The sequence below is a fragment of the Homo sapiens genome, chromosome 10 (genome assembly GCF_000001405.40).
Source record: "Homo sapiens chromosome 10, GRCh38.p14 Primary Assembly".
NCBI classification, from domain to species: domain Eukaryota; kingdom Metazoa; phylum Chordata; class Mammalia; order Primates; family Hominidae; genus Homo; species Homo sapiens.
In genome coordinates this window covers 50,675,076-50,690,720 of record NC_000010.11, presented here as the reverse complement: position 1 = coordinate 50,690,720, position 15,645 = coordinate 50,675,076, and the positions used below count along the sequence as shown (strand labels likewise).

General features: G+C 53.1%; 1 pseudogene, besides 1 other annotated feature; it reads right to left on the bottom strand.

Annotated features, from left to right (window-relative positions):
• Window positions 4,839-14,266, bottom strand: NUTM2HP (NUT family member 2H, pseudogene; annotated as a pseudogene).
• Window positions 10,717-11,216: an enhancer, noted in NCBI's record as "H3K4me1 hESC enhancer chr10:52439265-52439764 (GRCh37/hg19 assembly coordinates)". NCBI's record gives its function as "activates a minimal SCP1, AML or CMV promoter by ChIP-STARR-seq in naive H9 embryonic stem cells {active_cell/tissue: H9 hESC(naive)}" and the evidence as "EXISTENCE:reporter gene assay evidence [ECO:0000049][PMID:30033119]".

Here is a 15,645-nt window from a genome sequence, read left to right as displayed (position 1 = left end):
ACAAAGCTATTCCTCAAAGTACAGGAGAAAGTCAAGGATGCCCACTCTTGCCACTTCTATTCAACATAGTACTGGGCCAGAGCAATTAGACAAGGAAAAGATATATAAAAGGCATTCCAGTTGGAAAGGAAGAAGTAAAATTATTTCTATTTACAGATTATATGGTTTTATATGTAGAAAACCCTAAAAATTCCACCAAAAACCTGTAAGAACTAATAAATGATTTCCGCAAAGTTACAAAATGCAAAATTAACACACAAAAATCCATTGCAGTTCCATACATTAGCAATGACCAATATGGAAAGGAAATTAAGAAGAAAATTTCAGACCAGGTGCGGCGGCTTACACTTATAATCCCAACATGTTGGGAGGCTGAGGCAGGCGGATCACTTGAGGCCAGGAGTTTGAGACCAGCCTGGCCAACATAGTGAAATCCTGTCTCTACTACAAAAACAAACAAATAAACAAACAAACAAACAAAAACAAAAAACCCACAATTTTATTTATAATAGCATGAAAAAGAACAAAATACTTAGAAATAAACTTAACCAAGTAGGCAAACAACTTGGACACTAAAAATTACAAAACAACAATGCTACAAGAAACCAAAGAGTATATAAATAAATGAAAAGACATCTCCATGCATGTGGATTTGAAGACTTAATATTGTTAAAATGTCCATATTACCTAAAACAATTTACAAATTCCATACAATCCCTATTACAGCATTATTCACAGTAGCCAAGAGATCCAATCCAAATATCCATTGGTGGATGAAAGGATAAAATATGGTATATACATACAATGGAAGACTAAGCAGCCTACGGAAAGAAGGAAATCATGTCACATGCTAGAACATGGATCAATCTCAAGAACATTATGCTAAGTGAAATAAGCCAATCACAAAAGGACAAATACTTTTCTTCATATGAAGTATTTAAGGTAGTCGAAATCACAGAAACATAAAGTAGTGATTGCCAAGGGCCGGGGGTGGGAGTAGGGGGGAAATTAGTATTTAATGTGTACAAAATTTCAGTTGTGAAAGATAAAAAATTTCTAAAGATCTAAATTTCACAATGATGTGAATATACATAACATTACTAAATTGCACAATTTAAAATGTTTAAGATGGTTTTTAAAAAAGGAAAAAGCATAGGAATAAATTTCATGACCTAAGACTAGTTAATGGTTTCTTAAACATGACATCAAAACCATAAGTAACAAACGAGAAAATAGATAAATTGGACTTCATCCAAAGTAAAAACTTTTGTGCTTCAAAGAGTACCATCAAGAAAGTAAAGGACAACCCATAGAATGGGAGAATATTTCTGCAAATTATATCTTGTAAAGCATTTTTATCTGGAACATATAAAGAATTATTATAACTCAATGACAAAACACAAACCAGTTAAAAATTACTAAATGTTGAGTACACACTGCTCCAAAGAAGATATACAAGTGGCGAATAGGTACATGAAAGAGGTTCAACATCAGGGAAACACAAATGCAAACTACGATGAGATGCAACTTCAGAACCACTAGGATGACTTTATCAAAAAGAGAGTTGATAATAAATGTTGGCTAGAATATGGAGAGACGCTGGGACCCTCACACAGCTAGTGGGTATATAAAATGGTTCGTGTACACTGGAAACAGTCTGGCACCTTCTGAAATGGTTAAACATAGAGTTTCCATATGGCCCATCAATTTCACTCTTAGGTATGTAGCCATGAGAAATGGAAACATACATCCCCAGGAAACCTTGTACACAAATGTTCTTAGAAGTGTTATTCACAATAGCCAAAAAGTGAAAAAAACCCAAACGTTCTTAACTGATAAATGGATAAATTTTAGTATATCCATTAATGGAATATTATTCAGCAACAAAAAGGTTTGATGTAATGATACATACTAAAAATGTAGATGACATTGGAAATATTATTCTAAGTGAAAGAAGACAGATGTGAAAGACACACATTGTATATTCCATTCATAGGGCATCATGCAACGCTGAAGTTAGAATCAAAGTGAGCTACAAAAGGGCAGCCACCTGTATTAAGTCCATCCTCATAGCTGTCAGAAAGCACAGCATGTTCACTAACGGGGGCAAGCCTTGCTCACGTTGTCAGATGGAGTTTCCCAGGAGGCTATGGCTTCTTCGGGGATCTGTCATCCAATGGTGAAGGGAGGGGTCTCTGGAGGCAAACCTGCCAGGGGCCACCCCAGCCGCACTTGTTCCCAGAGAGTGACCTGGGTGTGTGAGCAGGGAGGCCAAGCTGACCAAGAGCCTCAGCACACCCCCAGAAGCTGCTGTGAGCAAGCTGCATGGCTTCCCCAAGTGTGGATGTGATGACATCATGGGTATTTACAGATTCCTTTTCACTGTGTCCCAGGCTCTCCTGGTTCATGTGTGATACACTGCACTTGGGATGGAGGTGTGCTGACAGTTGTAAAGGGCCAAGCCTTTCTTTCCCGTGGCTCTGATGCACGGTTTCCAGATACCAGTCATGAAGGAAGTTCTTGAGATTATGGACTTTGTCCTAGTCACATAGGGCTGCTAGGACAAAGTGCCATAGACTTGGGGGTGGTGGCACATATTAAAAAAAGAAATGTATTTGTCACAGTCTGGAGGCTGGAAGTCCGAGGTTAGCATCCCAGTGGGCAAGGTTCTGGTGAGGGCTCTCTCTCTGGCTTGCAGATGGCCGCCTTCTCACTGTGTCCTCGTGTCAGGGAGAGAGAGAGCTCTGGGGTCTCTGCTTCTTACCAGGGCCCTAATCCCATCATTAAGGCCCCACCGTCATGGTCTCTTCTAACCCTGAATAACTCCCAAAGGCCCCATTTCCAAATACCATCACGTTGGGGGTTAGGGCTTCAGCACAGGAACTGGGCGGGGGATGTATGTTCAGTCTACCAGAGCCCCCCAGTCAGCCCCACTGTGCCCATTTAGGGGCAGATTGTAGGGCTCAGGTGGGACACAGAGGTGGAGGAAGCACAAGTTCTGCTTCCTAGGAATGGCTCAGCCAAGACAAGGACAGGGACAGTGGGATAGACAACAGCCAGTGGGGTAACCAGCAGGAGCCCCAAGGTGTCACTTTCACCCTTAGGTGAGGAAGGTGGCTGGGCACCCACACACGCCAGAGTATGGACCGTGTTCCCTTCAAACATGGCTCACTAACATTCCTAAACGATGCAAAGGGGCAGTGCTACCTTATCTCCTGAGGATGGCCCTGAATGTAGAGGAGTCACGGGAGCTGCCCACATTACCCACCAGTGACTCTGCTCCCCACATTTTCCCCGAGGGCCTGAAGTGCACTGAGCTGGGGAAGCCCTGCCAAGATAAACTCTCCTTCCCAAAGGCCACAGAAGACAGCAGGCCTCCGACATTGCCCACATCGAGCAGAAGGGACGGGGCAGAGGGGCATCTGTCAGGCTGACTGCTGTGTTCTGTGGGCAGATGGGGCCAGAGAGGACCCAAACATGGCTCCCTTTGTCACTTGGCCAAGGGGCCAGGCCACCGTGTACCAGACAGCTTTGCCCCACCAGCCTCTGCTGCTGGGCCAGCCCCCAGCACCGTGACCACAGCTCTGCACTCAGGCAGTGCTGGGACCAGTGCCCTGGCAGTCACAGGGGTCCTGAGCCAATAAGCGCCCTGGGGGAGGAATCAGAACTCAGACCATGGAGAAGAAGGTGTTGGCCAGGAGGGAACAAGGGTGGGTGCCGGGTCCTGTCCATGCTGGGATCTGAGACTCTAAGAGGTGGCTTAGGGGTAAGGGGGGCAGAAGTTGGCCCATGGGGTGAGGGCAGTTCAGCAGAGATTGGGAGGACAGGACAACCTGGGAAAGAGCAGAGCATCCTCTCCAGCCTCGGTCCCTCTCCTGATGCAGTCCTCATCTTACTCATAGACTCTGGAAGTCTCCCTTTGGCGAACACCTAGCCCCCAACTCCCAGGGCACTTCCCAGACAGCCAATGCCACATCCCAGGCAGCCCCTGCTCTGCCCTTGGGGTCTGTGCCTGGCAGAAGGGCGGCTGACCCTCGGCCCCTCTTGGCCTGGGCCCCAGCTCCTCCGGGCCCTGGAACCAGCAGAAACACCCACCCTGCGCCTGATGGACTGGACATGCTTGTTCCCATTGGTGATGGTGTGTTGGGAGGGAACTGTTTTAGAAACCAATGTAAATCTGTGTCTACATCAATTCCACATGAGTTCAGTCATCATATGGGAAGGGAATCATAGCTGTGGGGGGCTCCATGCAGGACCTTGAGGGCCCCGAGGCCAGTCCCTGTGGCCACAGCAAGGAGCATCTGCTTTAGCTAGTTGGACAAGACTCTCTCCTGCCCAGAAACAGGCAGAAGGACTTCCCCTGCTCCTCACCCATCATTGTATCCCAAACACACCTGTGTGGATGGTCACCTCAACGTCTCCCCTCAGCCCAGTGCCCGCGCTCTTCCTGATGAGGGTTAAGCAGGAGCAGCCTCCTCTCCCCATGTCCATGTTGCAGGCGGCTGCCTTCTCCTCAGCTCCCACCGAGCAGAACAAGAGCCAGCCAGCTCTCTCCAATCCCAGGATTTTCCAGGGATGCTGATAATGATGGGGGGCCCCAAGAAGCCTCCCTAAAGCAGGCAGGGCCTTGTGAGTGGGTGGTGGGAGGGATCAGGGCTTCCTCAGCATCTGTCAGTCCCTGGAGCATCTGAAGGGGCTCCCTACGTCAGGAGGAAAGAGTGGGGCCGGCCCCTGTGGGTTCCCAGAGCCTGGCATCTGCCAGTTCCTCTGCCCTCCCTCACAGACACCCTCCACGGAGCAGCACAGCACCGAGGACAGAGGCAGCAACCCCAAGAGCATTTTCCAAAACAACTACATTTATTCATACTTACACACGAGGCCCCCAACGTACTGCTTCCCACCCCCACTCCCCAGCCCCTTCCCCCCAGACCCTTCCTTCTTGCCCTCCCCATTCAGCCACCCTCTCCCTCCCCTCCCTCCCCTACCCTCCAAAGCTAAGGCCCAGCAAGATCAGCACTGGGGGAGAAGAAGTTTTGACCGCTTTGGGGCATCGGATGCCAGAGCCCCATCCTTGGGGATTGGCCCCAGAGAGCCTGCTCAGAAGCCCCTACTGGCTACAATGCTGCTTCTTCTCCTTCCTGGAGATGAAGGGGTCACCCTTTCTCTTTTGAGACTGTGAGGGGCCACCCAGCCCCCAAGTCAGGGATTGCTCCCCAGAGACCCTGAGCCCAGGCCCTGGGTGGGGTGTCTTTTCAGCAGGGGACAGGCTTCCAAAGAGAGGTCGCTTCTTGGACTTGTTGGCAGGAGAAGGTGCTAGGTTGAGGCCTCTTCTCTCAGCAGATGGGGACTGATGAGTTCCCTAGGGTCCCCACTTTTCTGGGCTGAGAAGGCCCGAGGCAGGGACAGGGCTCTGGGGTAGCCACCGGGGCAGAAGCTTGTGCTGGGAACCCAAGAGGAAGGCCAGGCTGGGGAGTTCCTCCTCCTCACTTGACCCCTGAGCCAGCCCATGTGACTCCCTGACAGGAGACCCTCCAGGGAGATCCAAGGCATCCTTGGTACCCATGCCAGGGCAGGTGGGTCTGTGGTCCTGGGGAGGAGAGGTTGGCCGGGCAGCCCTCAGCCCAGGGGAATCCTGACATCCCAAAAGCACAACAGAGTCTTTGGACCTGGCCATGCCAGCGTGTGCTCTGCCTCGTCCCTGAGAGTCCCGGGCAGTCGTCTGGGGTGGGCAGGTTTCCATGCCAACCCCTTGTTGGGGGTCAGGGACATCTCTCTCTGCTCCTTGGCCAGCTGCAAACTTAGAAGAACTTGAGTCCAACCGGGCTGTGCCATGACTAGGGGCTGCCCTCGCATGCTGTTTCTCCTTCAAGGGTAGGAGGCGCTTCTCCACTAGCTGCGGGAGGAAAGGGGGCACTTACTGGCACTGCCCCAGGTGTGAGCAGGGCCCAGGGTGGTGGAGACCAGGGCACTTAGGCAGCAGGTAGGGAAGCCTGAGGCAGCTGGGCTTTATGTCAAAGAGAGAGGGTGTGGCTCTGCCGGGCATCCCGTTGGGCCTCACCACAGCTTGCATGCCGACTCCCCTCCCTGGCTCCTGTCCATCCTACTCCCTCTGAACCTGCATCTTCCCACTCCAGAGTGGCTCCCCAAGAAGCCGAGCATCCCCAGCGGGCAGGATTAGACAATCAGGTGGGCCTTGTGTGCCAGGTCCCTCCTGCCCCTGGGGTACCTGGGCAAGGGTGAGTCCTTCCTCCTGCTCCAGCTCCTGGCTTAGGGCCAAGAAATCCATCTGTGGATCTGGGGAAAGCAATTCTTCCAGGAATTGGGGATGAATGACGGCCTCCACCTGGAAACAGAAGGAAGAAGGCATGAGCTTCCTGGGCAGGGAGTAACCTGGAGCCAAGGACACCTGGAGGAGATGCAGAAAGCAGCGAGCACCCCGTCCCCACCCTCCTGGGGCTGTCTCATATCATGGTGACCACCAGCTACAGACACAGACCACAGACCTGGTAGCTACACACACACAGACAGAGACACACAAACCACACACAGACACACAAACAGACCCACATATGACACAGGAAAAGACACAGACACAGGTAACGTACACACTCCACACTCACACCCACACAGACACACAAAGACACACAGTAACAAACCACAGACACAAACACACAGCAACACACAGACACACACAATCACATACACAGACTCTCAAATCCATGGAAATACACACACTGCTGAGTCGCTAAGGAACAAAGCTTAATTCCAAGGACCTGGGAGTGCCACCCCCTGGAATCCAGCAGACCCCAGCACTCCAGGCCAGCTCACCTTGGTGACGAAGTCTTTCTGGGAACACAGCTTGTCAATGTAGCTCAGGAGGCCCGGGTCTGGGGGCATCCAGTCCTCTTCCTGTGGCTGCTTCACTTCGCCCTCTTCCCGTTGTTTCTTGGGCTCCCCGTGGCCCCGAGGGAAGGCCCCAGCAGCTCCTCCATGATGTCCACATACTCCTGCACCACTTCTCGGGGGATCTCCTCAGGGACCTTGGTCTCTGCTGGTCTCTGGGGCCTGGGTGGTGGCAGGCGGGCCTTGGTCTGTGCTCGCCGGTGGGGCCGGGGTGGTGGCCAGCGGGCCTTGGTCACTGGCCTCTGGGGCCTGGGTGGTGTCAGGCAGGCAGTCGGGGCCTTGGGGCCGGCCTTGCTGGGAAGGTACACTGAGGCAGAGAGGGAGGAGGACGGGCATGGTGAGGGCCGCTCCTCCTGCTTGCACCACACAGGGGAGGGGAGGGCTTGGGGATGTGAAGTGGGTCCCAGCTGGGTCAGGACCACCTGAACCGCAGCGCCCCCAGAGGAGGCAGGAGGGGCACATCTGAGACAGCATCACTTGGGAGGAAGTTTGGAGCCACCAATATGCCGTGTACTCTCCCCGCTCATCCCTGCTTCCTGGGCAGAGCATATGTGGAGTTTTGGACAGGCGAGGGGAGAGAGTAGCTAGGAAACTTGACCAGGTCAATACCGAACATATGCTCCTGGAAACTGTCCTGTTGGAGGGAGCAAATCCCCCTCTTGAAGGGAAGCATGGGGTGTGGGGACAATGGCCTCCCTTGGCCCCTTTGGCCTTTGCCATGGCTCCTGTGGGAATATGGGAAGCCATACCTGGCTGCTTGACCACCTCAGGGGCCGGGGGTCCTCGAGGTTCAAGCCTCGGTGTGGCTGGAGGAGGCAGGCACTGGGGCCCCTTCATCCATTGCGATTTCTGAATCTGCATCTCCTCCTCAGCCTCAAACTCCAGGAATCTGGGGGTGAAGGAGGCCCAGGCTGTGCTGAGAGGGTCCAGGCCCGCTCCCCCCAGGACCAGGCAGTGGCCGAGGGCAGGGATAGGAGGGAGTGCCTCCGGTGGGCTGTCCAGGCCCTCACTGTGTCCCATCCCCCAGTCCCAGGAGAAAGCTGCTCCCAGAGTTCTGGGCTCACCCTCCCTCACCCAGCCCCCGCAGAGCCCATGGCATCAACGGGGCTTCCTGACTCAACTCAGGGCCACGAGGTCCAGGAGGGTCTCGGGGGACCTCTCCTCCAGGTTTCAGCTGGCCAGGGGTGGGGTGTATGGCAGAAGGCATCAGGGATGATGCCCAGATGCAGGAGTCCTGAGGCTAGGACTGTGGGCCCCTGAAAGATAACCCAGGGGCATGAGGCCTGGGAGACCCCTGGTCAGGAGGAAGCAAAAGCTGAGCTCAGAGGACAGGGCCCCTTTCCCCTGAGGCTGCTGTCTATCTGTCTGCCTTCATGGAGGGGACTGCCCAGGAGCAAAGGCAGTCAGGCCAGAGATGGGTCCCATCGTGTCCCAGGTGCAGATCTCCCCAACCCAACTCCCTGGCCAGGCTGGGATGGGAGAAAACCGACTTCTGGCCACTGCTGTGAGGAGCCTGCACCCTACTCTTGTCCATAGTCACTAGCACCCCTTCTCCCCATCCCCACAGCTGGAGGTGACCCACTTTGGGCTGTGATACTGGCTGCTCCTGCCATGACCTCCAGTGTCAAGGCAGGGATGGCCCCAGGCCAGGCAGGGGGTGCTTCCCAATAGGCCAGGACAGAGACCCCAGAACACTCTAGGTGGCAGGAGCCGCTTCCTGAGGGATCCAGGGGCCCAGAGTGTCCTGGGCTTCTCCACACCCTCCTCATACTCCACGTTGAGAAGCCACCATGGCCACCGGGCCTCTGTCATTCACTCTCACCCTGCCACGCGGGCCCTGCTCCCAGGACCCCAGACTCACTTTTCTGCCATCTCGTAGAAGATCATCCGGTCAAAGTTGCTCGTGTGCTGCCATTCCTGCATGGCCTGCCACAGTCCCTCCTCCAGGGTCATGGTGGGCTTCTGCCGGGCCAGAGATCGGAGAACTGGGCTGTAAACCATTGCAGTCAGTCTCAGTCTATAAGCCCACCCTTCATCCCAAGCCCACCTGGTCCCAACACCTGGCCCCTGTCCTCCCCACACCTGTCCTGCCATCTGTCCCTGTCCTGTTCTCCCCCATGTGGGCTCCTCAGGCCCCAGGACACACCCCCAAGATCAAACATCAACACAAGCTACCAAGTGGCCTCTCCGACTGCCCCTCGAGTCCTCAGTGTTGAGAAGTGGACTCAGTACTACGGGTGGAACATGTGTGTCTCCAACATTCCTGTGCTGAAGCCCTCAGCACCAGTGTGTCAGTATTTGGAGGCAATCAGGGTTAAAGCAGGTCATGAGCGTGGGTCCCAGTCATGGAATCCAAGCCCTGATAAGGGCAGAAGGAGACGCCAGGGCTCTTGCTCTCAGCCACGAGGAGACATAGCCAGAGACAGCTCTCTCCAGCCAGGAGGAGGGCCCTGACCAGACACCCAATCTGCTGTCACCTTGATCTGGGACTTCTGGCCTCTGGAACTGGGAGACATGAATGTGTCTTGATAAAACATCCAGTCTATGGCATTCGTTACGGCAGAGCCTGAGCTGACTGAGACAGCGTGCACACAGAATGACCTGGGGGTGAGGGTTAAAGTGCAGGTTCCAGGGCCCCAAGACTGAGCATTTAACCGGCTTCCTGGGGACTCTGGAGCAAGGCAGCCCCTGGGGACGTAGCCTCAGGGCCCTGGAGCATGAGGAGCAGGAGCACACGTCCAGAACCAAAGCAGAGCGGTGTCCACGCCACTGCAAGCAGCAGGTCCAGATCCCACATTCCCACAGGAGCCATGGCAAAGGCCTGTGAGCCTGGGGCAGCTCCACCCCAAGAATCAGGGTCCCCAGTGCACCGGGACTCCGCTCCAAGGAGGAATGCAACCAGTTCCAGGGTGCGGGAACAGCGAGATTTTTGGGGATGAAGATGGGGCCACCTTCCACCTACACCCCAGGCAGGGGACTTCCCTAGGGGAATGGCCAGTGTGTTGCACGGTGGATGTGCTCAAGCTCCCGTTTGCTCATCAGCGGGAAACACAGGGTCACAGAGGCGCTGCAGGGTGGAGAGAGGCAGGGACTGGGAATGAAACCACAAACTCTCCCAGATGCTGACGTTGCTGCCTCACAGTCACCACAGTCCATGGCCCTGGGCTGCTGGACTCATGGTGCACTCAGAGCTATCACTGGAGCCCGTGGCTTTGGTGAGTGCTCTCCTAGACGGCCTAGTCTTGATAATGATAGTAATGGGGACAGTAATCATAATGCTGTCATGTAATATGTCATAGCATGTGCCAGGCACTGTGCTATGCATGTCATATGTGAGCTCAAGTTATCTCTTCACCATCCTCTGAATGAAGCATCATTGTCCCTTTTTCTAGGAGGGATTGAGGGTGAAGATGCAAATACCTGCCCGGCATCGGCCCCAGTGCAGGGCCCAAGACCATCCCCCTGTGCAGGCTCCACCATCACTGTGCTAACTGGACCTCAGCGGAACTGCGGGCATGTGCCAGGTTCCTGCTGGGCCCTGCAGCTCCTTCCCCCAGCCCCATGTGAGGTGCTCCTGGCCATCAATACTGGGTTAAAGGGGAGGCACTGGGGTGTGTACTCAAAGACCTAAACCCAAACCGTAGCTCACATCACACCAGGAACCCTCTCTGACCTGGGTCTTCTGTAGACATTGTTGTAAAAATTATTGAAAGTAAGGATTGGCTGGACTCACAGGACAGTGACGGGCAGTTGAGATGAGGCCCCTGACAGTCTGTCCTGAGCCGCAGCCAGATTAATATTGTTGAAAATGTACCTTCCCATAGTGCAGCCCATCACCCTCACAACCGCCCTGCAAGCTCCCCTGAACAGCGTGACCTCCCGTCCATCCAGCAGCCTCTTTACGTGTGAGCTGCAGGACCAGCTCCAATGCCCCGAGGACACTCACATGAGGAAGCACGAAAGCGCTTCGGTGTCAGGACTCTGGGGAAGGTGCCTCCGGGCCAGGGGCTTGTAGTGCTGCCAGAGTCGGAAGTTCTCATAGACACTCCTGGGGTTACAGGAGTCATCTGGTGGGGCCTTGGCCTGGGAGGAAGCCAGGCTGCCCTCTCCATGAGCCCCTTGTGGCCATGGCCCAGCATTCCCTTGGGACACAATGGGGGGCAACTGGGCAGCCGGTGGTGGTGGTGGTGGAAGAGGAAGGCCCTGGGACCAGCCTCCCTCACAGGCCTGGGTGCCCCCAACCACCTGGGCAGCCATAACAGGCACCACAGGAGCAGCTGCCAGGAGTAGGGGAGGTGGACACACAACACCTCCACAGAGGGCGCCTGGAGCCTGCCAGATGAGGGGGCCTGAGTTAGGACCAAGGTCTGTGTCTGAGCGGCCTTCACAGGCCCCACCTCTGTCCTCATCTGGACAAAGACGTTGGAAGCCCCGGCCCCACTCGGGCCGCAGCCATCCTCTTCTGCCACCAGAGGTGTGCTGGGGAAGGTAGACAGCACCAGAGGGCCGCCTGGAGGAACCCCTGCAGTCACAAGGAGCGGCCTGTGTGCTGGGCCAGGAGCGGGTGTGGTGAAGGGCAGAGCCGTGAACACAGACAGGGAGGTACCAGGGTTCACGGTCACGCCCGGTCCCAGCACTGGGTATGTTGTGGAGACAAAGGAAAGAGGTGAATGAGCTGGGGTCTCCAGGTCCACACTAGTCACTGGAGAATCAGAGGGGAGTCCCAACAGCTAAGGGCGTATGATAGGGAAACTGCAGCTTGCAAATGTCCCTGAGTGTGCATCGGATGCTCTGTTCCTCCATGGAGAGTCACTCCACTAGAGAGCCTGGCCCCGGTCACCAAGACTCCCTGACCCCTGTCTCCCAAGAAGCAACAGCCAAGCCTTCGCTGCCCGAGGGTCTCCCTCGGTTGTCCCTGGCAGACCCTGTCAGCCTCACAGGCATCTCCCAAGCCATGGGTCAGGGATGAGTCTCTCAGCGGCCTGGTGGTCCTCAGCGTGCTCAGCAACAGGTGAGGGGCCTACCCCAGGGCAGTACTCGGCACTCAGAAGGCCGACAGGAAGCCAGAAGCTTCCGAATATTATGGCCCCATCTCCTTTTCAATCTTCCTTTTCCTGAAGCTCTTGTAAACCCCTTTCTTTCCCAGCTCAGACATAACAAAACAAAACCACTGGATGGAAATCTTTCCCAAGCCAGCGCCCTAGGAACCCTGAAGATAATCCATAACTCGTCATGCCCAGCATGCAAGTGATTGTCCTGGCACCACCCACAGCAAGTGCTAAATAGGGGTCAGATTCAGGCCACCCTTTCCGCAGTACTCGATGGTCCCGGCTGCCACTCAGGAAGCTCTGTTCCCAGGGAGCAGGTCTGAGAGGCAGTGGTGGAGTCCCCTGAAACAGTGTCACTGCATAGCCAGCAAAAGCCACACACGATTAGAACACAGCCAGCAAATGGTGAGCAGCAGGGCTATCAGGGGAGTTGTCTAGGGATTTTCACAGCTGCTGGTCATGTTACAATAGGTAGTGGGACAAGGAGCCCATCCCTGGTCCTTCTCCTTTAAGCTCCCAATAACTGAACATAGTGACCAACCAAAAACCAGGGGTTCTTGGGCCATGGGCCGGGTGAGGCAAAGTTGTCTGGAACTCATCCCTGTTCAATAGGACCTCATGCAGTCTCTAGTCAAGGGGAATAAGGGATACAGCACATGCACCTCATCATTCAGGACACATATCCTAACTTGAATAATAATAATAATAAGAGAACCATCTTCCTATTTGTGTGCTACTCTCCTTCCTCTGCTGAAAAGGAAACCAGACTTTCCAGACCCTTCCACTGAGAACCAGCAAGAATCCACACCTGCCCCCCGTTCATGAGGTAGTATAAATGGAATAGGAGCAAATTCTTCATCTCCACAGTAACACAAAGTGCAGAGGACAGGCCATGAGCTAGCAGACAAGAGGAAGTGGGTCTGAAGACCTGAGCTTCCACAACAGGGCAAACAATTCAGAACAATTCAAGAAACCCAGGCCCTGTGTTGCCTGAACTTCCTCATCTGCCCCCACCCCTGTTAAATCAAAGCCAACAGCTACCTGAACTGATGGAGAAGCCATCTCTAGGGAGAGAGCTGAGGGGCTCTGGGCTGTGGCAGTTACAGTTGCCCCCAGCCTCGCCCACACAGGGGCTGTCACTACATGCTCTGTCACAGCCAACCCACCCAACAGTTTTCTGGCTGAGACCACTTCTCCCCACTCCTCCCTAAGATCTAGAAAACTCCAGCCCAAATCTCTCTGAACACTATGGAAGGGCACCTTCCAGGTGCCTAAAGATATGGCACAGGGTTCAGGCTTGCCTATCATCCTCCCGGGGCCACCAGCACAACATGATCCCACCACTCCCTACAAACACAAAATGATGTGACCTGTCTCCTTCTAGAAAGGATCAATCCACTCTGTCCTTTCTCCTACACGGTGTATTACCCAGGCATCTTGTTCCACCTCTAAGGGGCCGTCCTCCCTAAACACAGACTCAGGGTGCCATAGCCATCCCCAGGTGTGATGTCCTTGGGGACATCCAGTCTTCCCTCCCTCCTCAACATCAGCCCTATCAACTGTCCCCGGGGCAGTATCAAATTTGAATTCCTAAGGAGTTGAGGCATGGCAGACTCAGATAATGCCCCCATCCCTATAGGCTTACCTCCATTTGAAGCCATCCCCTCAGGCTGGGCACTGACCACCGCTGTCTGGCAGTTTCCGCAATGAGAAAAGCCAAGGGTAAGACCCAGAGAGTGACTTGGCTCAGCAGATGCTCCTGAGTCCAACTGAAGCAGTTAAAATTTGAATGTAAACAGGTTTTTGGAACATAGGACCCCAGACATTCTGCAGAGGGGGAGGGGCAGTGGGCAGCTGGTAGGGGTGGGGGACATTCTGTGAAGGGCTTCAGCCATTAGGCAAGAACCTGAGTTTCCCTTCCAACTGGAAGGCAGCAGCAGAGATGGCATGTGCCTCTTTAGGCAACTTTTAAATTGTCCTTCTGACTCACAGCAAAAGCTTCTACCTGATGTCCCCTTTACTTCCATTCTTTATCAACAGACCTACTTTTGTGCCAGTCAACCCATGCTCCTTCCCACTTTGGCTCTTTCCCAGTCTTGACGAGTTTCAACAGTGGCCTCACTTCGTGAACAAAATTCAAAACACATCTTCAGTCTGAGAAACACAGGGGTTCTTACGAAGGCAAGGGGACTGGGTGTTTGAAATCAGAATGGTCTCAGCCGATCCAGACTATTAGGTGGCTGTGTGCTTATCATTGTTTAGGAAGCAATCCTTGTACCCCAGGTACATGCAGCCCTCTTCTGCTGTGCAACTCTACCTCAATCTTAGCTGAGAAGATCAACGGAGAGCAATTCAAGCAAAATCATGGTAAACTTACCAAAACAAAACAAAACAAACCATAAACGCTTTGGAGATCTTTCTGAGGACTTGATCTTTTACCATGGGGCAAACTTAAATGATTTTCAATCAATAACTTCATCTAAGAGGGATGTTGAAGCAAAATACCATACTCAGATACTGAAGAAGGGCAGAATTTTTGGTTGCTTCCTCCCTTGTCAAGTCAGTCAACTGATGGTTTCTCAAGATTGTCACACATGGCTTTGATACAGGATTTGAATGAGACTTTTTCTGAGCCAGTGATACAAAAAATATATTGTGGAAGTGTCTTAATTCTGCAATTGCTTCTGTACATGTTTGAAGTCCTAGACCCCAGGAGGAGAGACAATCAAATTAGCCAAAGGTAATTTGTGAAGACTGGCCATGGGAGGTGGTGGCTAAAAGTCCTCTGGCCCCTGCTCTGTGAGCATCCCCACAGAAAGTCCTTGGCCGCACTGACAGCTGAGAAAGAACATCTCAGGGCTTCGATCCCCTGTTCAGAGGACACATGCTCCTCCACCCAGTAGAGGAATGGCAGCTCCATGCTGTGTCCTGCAGAGCTCTCAGTCTCTGCACTTGAGGCCCTGGGCCTGCATCAACGTGAAGGCTCTTCAGTGTTATCACGTGGAGACAGACGATAGGAATCCTGCAAATGAGCAGAAAGGATGTACGATTAAAGTTTTTTCTGAAGCTGTTACAAACTTAAGTCAGTGAATTGCTTCTCTACTAGTTTTTTATTGCCAACTGGAATTCTGCACTGTGTTGCAGAGTCAGGGGTGGGGAGCGTGGAATTGTTCCCTTACTATCTGCTGCTTTATCGACTGAAATTGATCAAGGCTACAACAAAAACATTTCTAGAAATCATTTGAATGCGGTAGGAAAAACTCTGGGAATGGAGTCAGAAGAAAGTATATTTTGGAGTGTGTTTTCAGGTCTAAAATTATTTGCCAGAAATATTCTTCAATGGAACCTCCAGACTGAGTAGGAAAACAGGGCATACTATTTTTTGAAAGGCATGAGCAGGAATGAAATAAATGCCGTCCAAAGGGAATGCAAGACATGCAATTCGAGGATACCTTGCTTTAGGATAAACCCTCCAAAGGTAAACCTTTCAGCAAGGGTGTTACCTAAGTGCATGGACTGCAGGTTTGTATTACCGAAAATTAGGAGTGGTCGCTGTGGACGCGCTGGTTTCTCAGAGGCATGGTCATGGAGGTTCCAATGAGGGGGCTTGTCTGGCCCCAGGAAGCGCCCAGGTGCTGCCTCCCTCCATTTCCACATCTCCAGCGGGGCCTTCCCAGGGCGGGCTCCTGGCCTG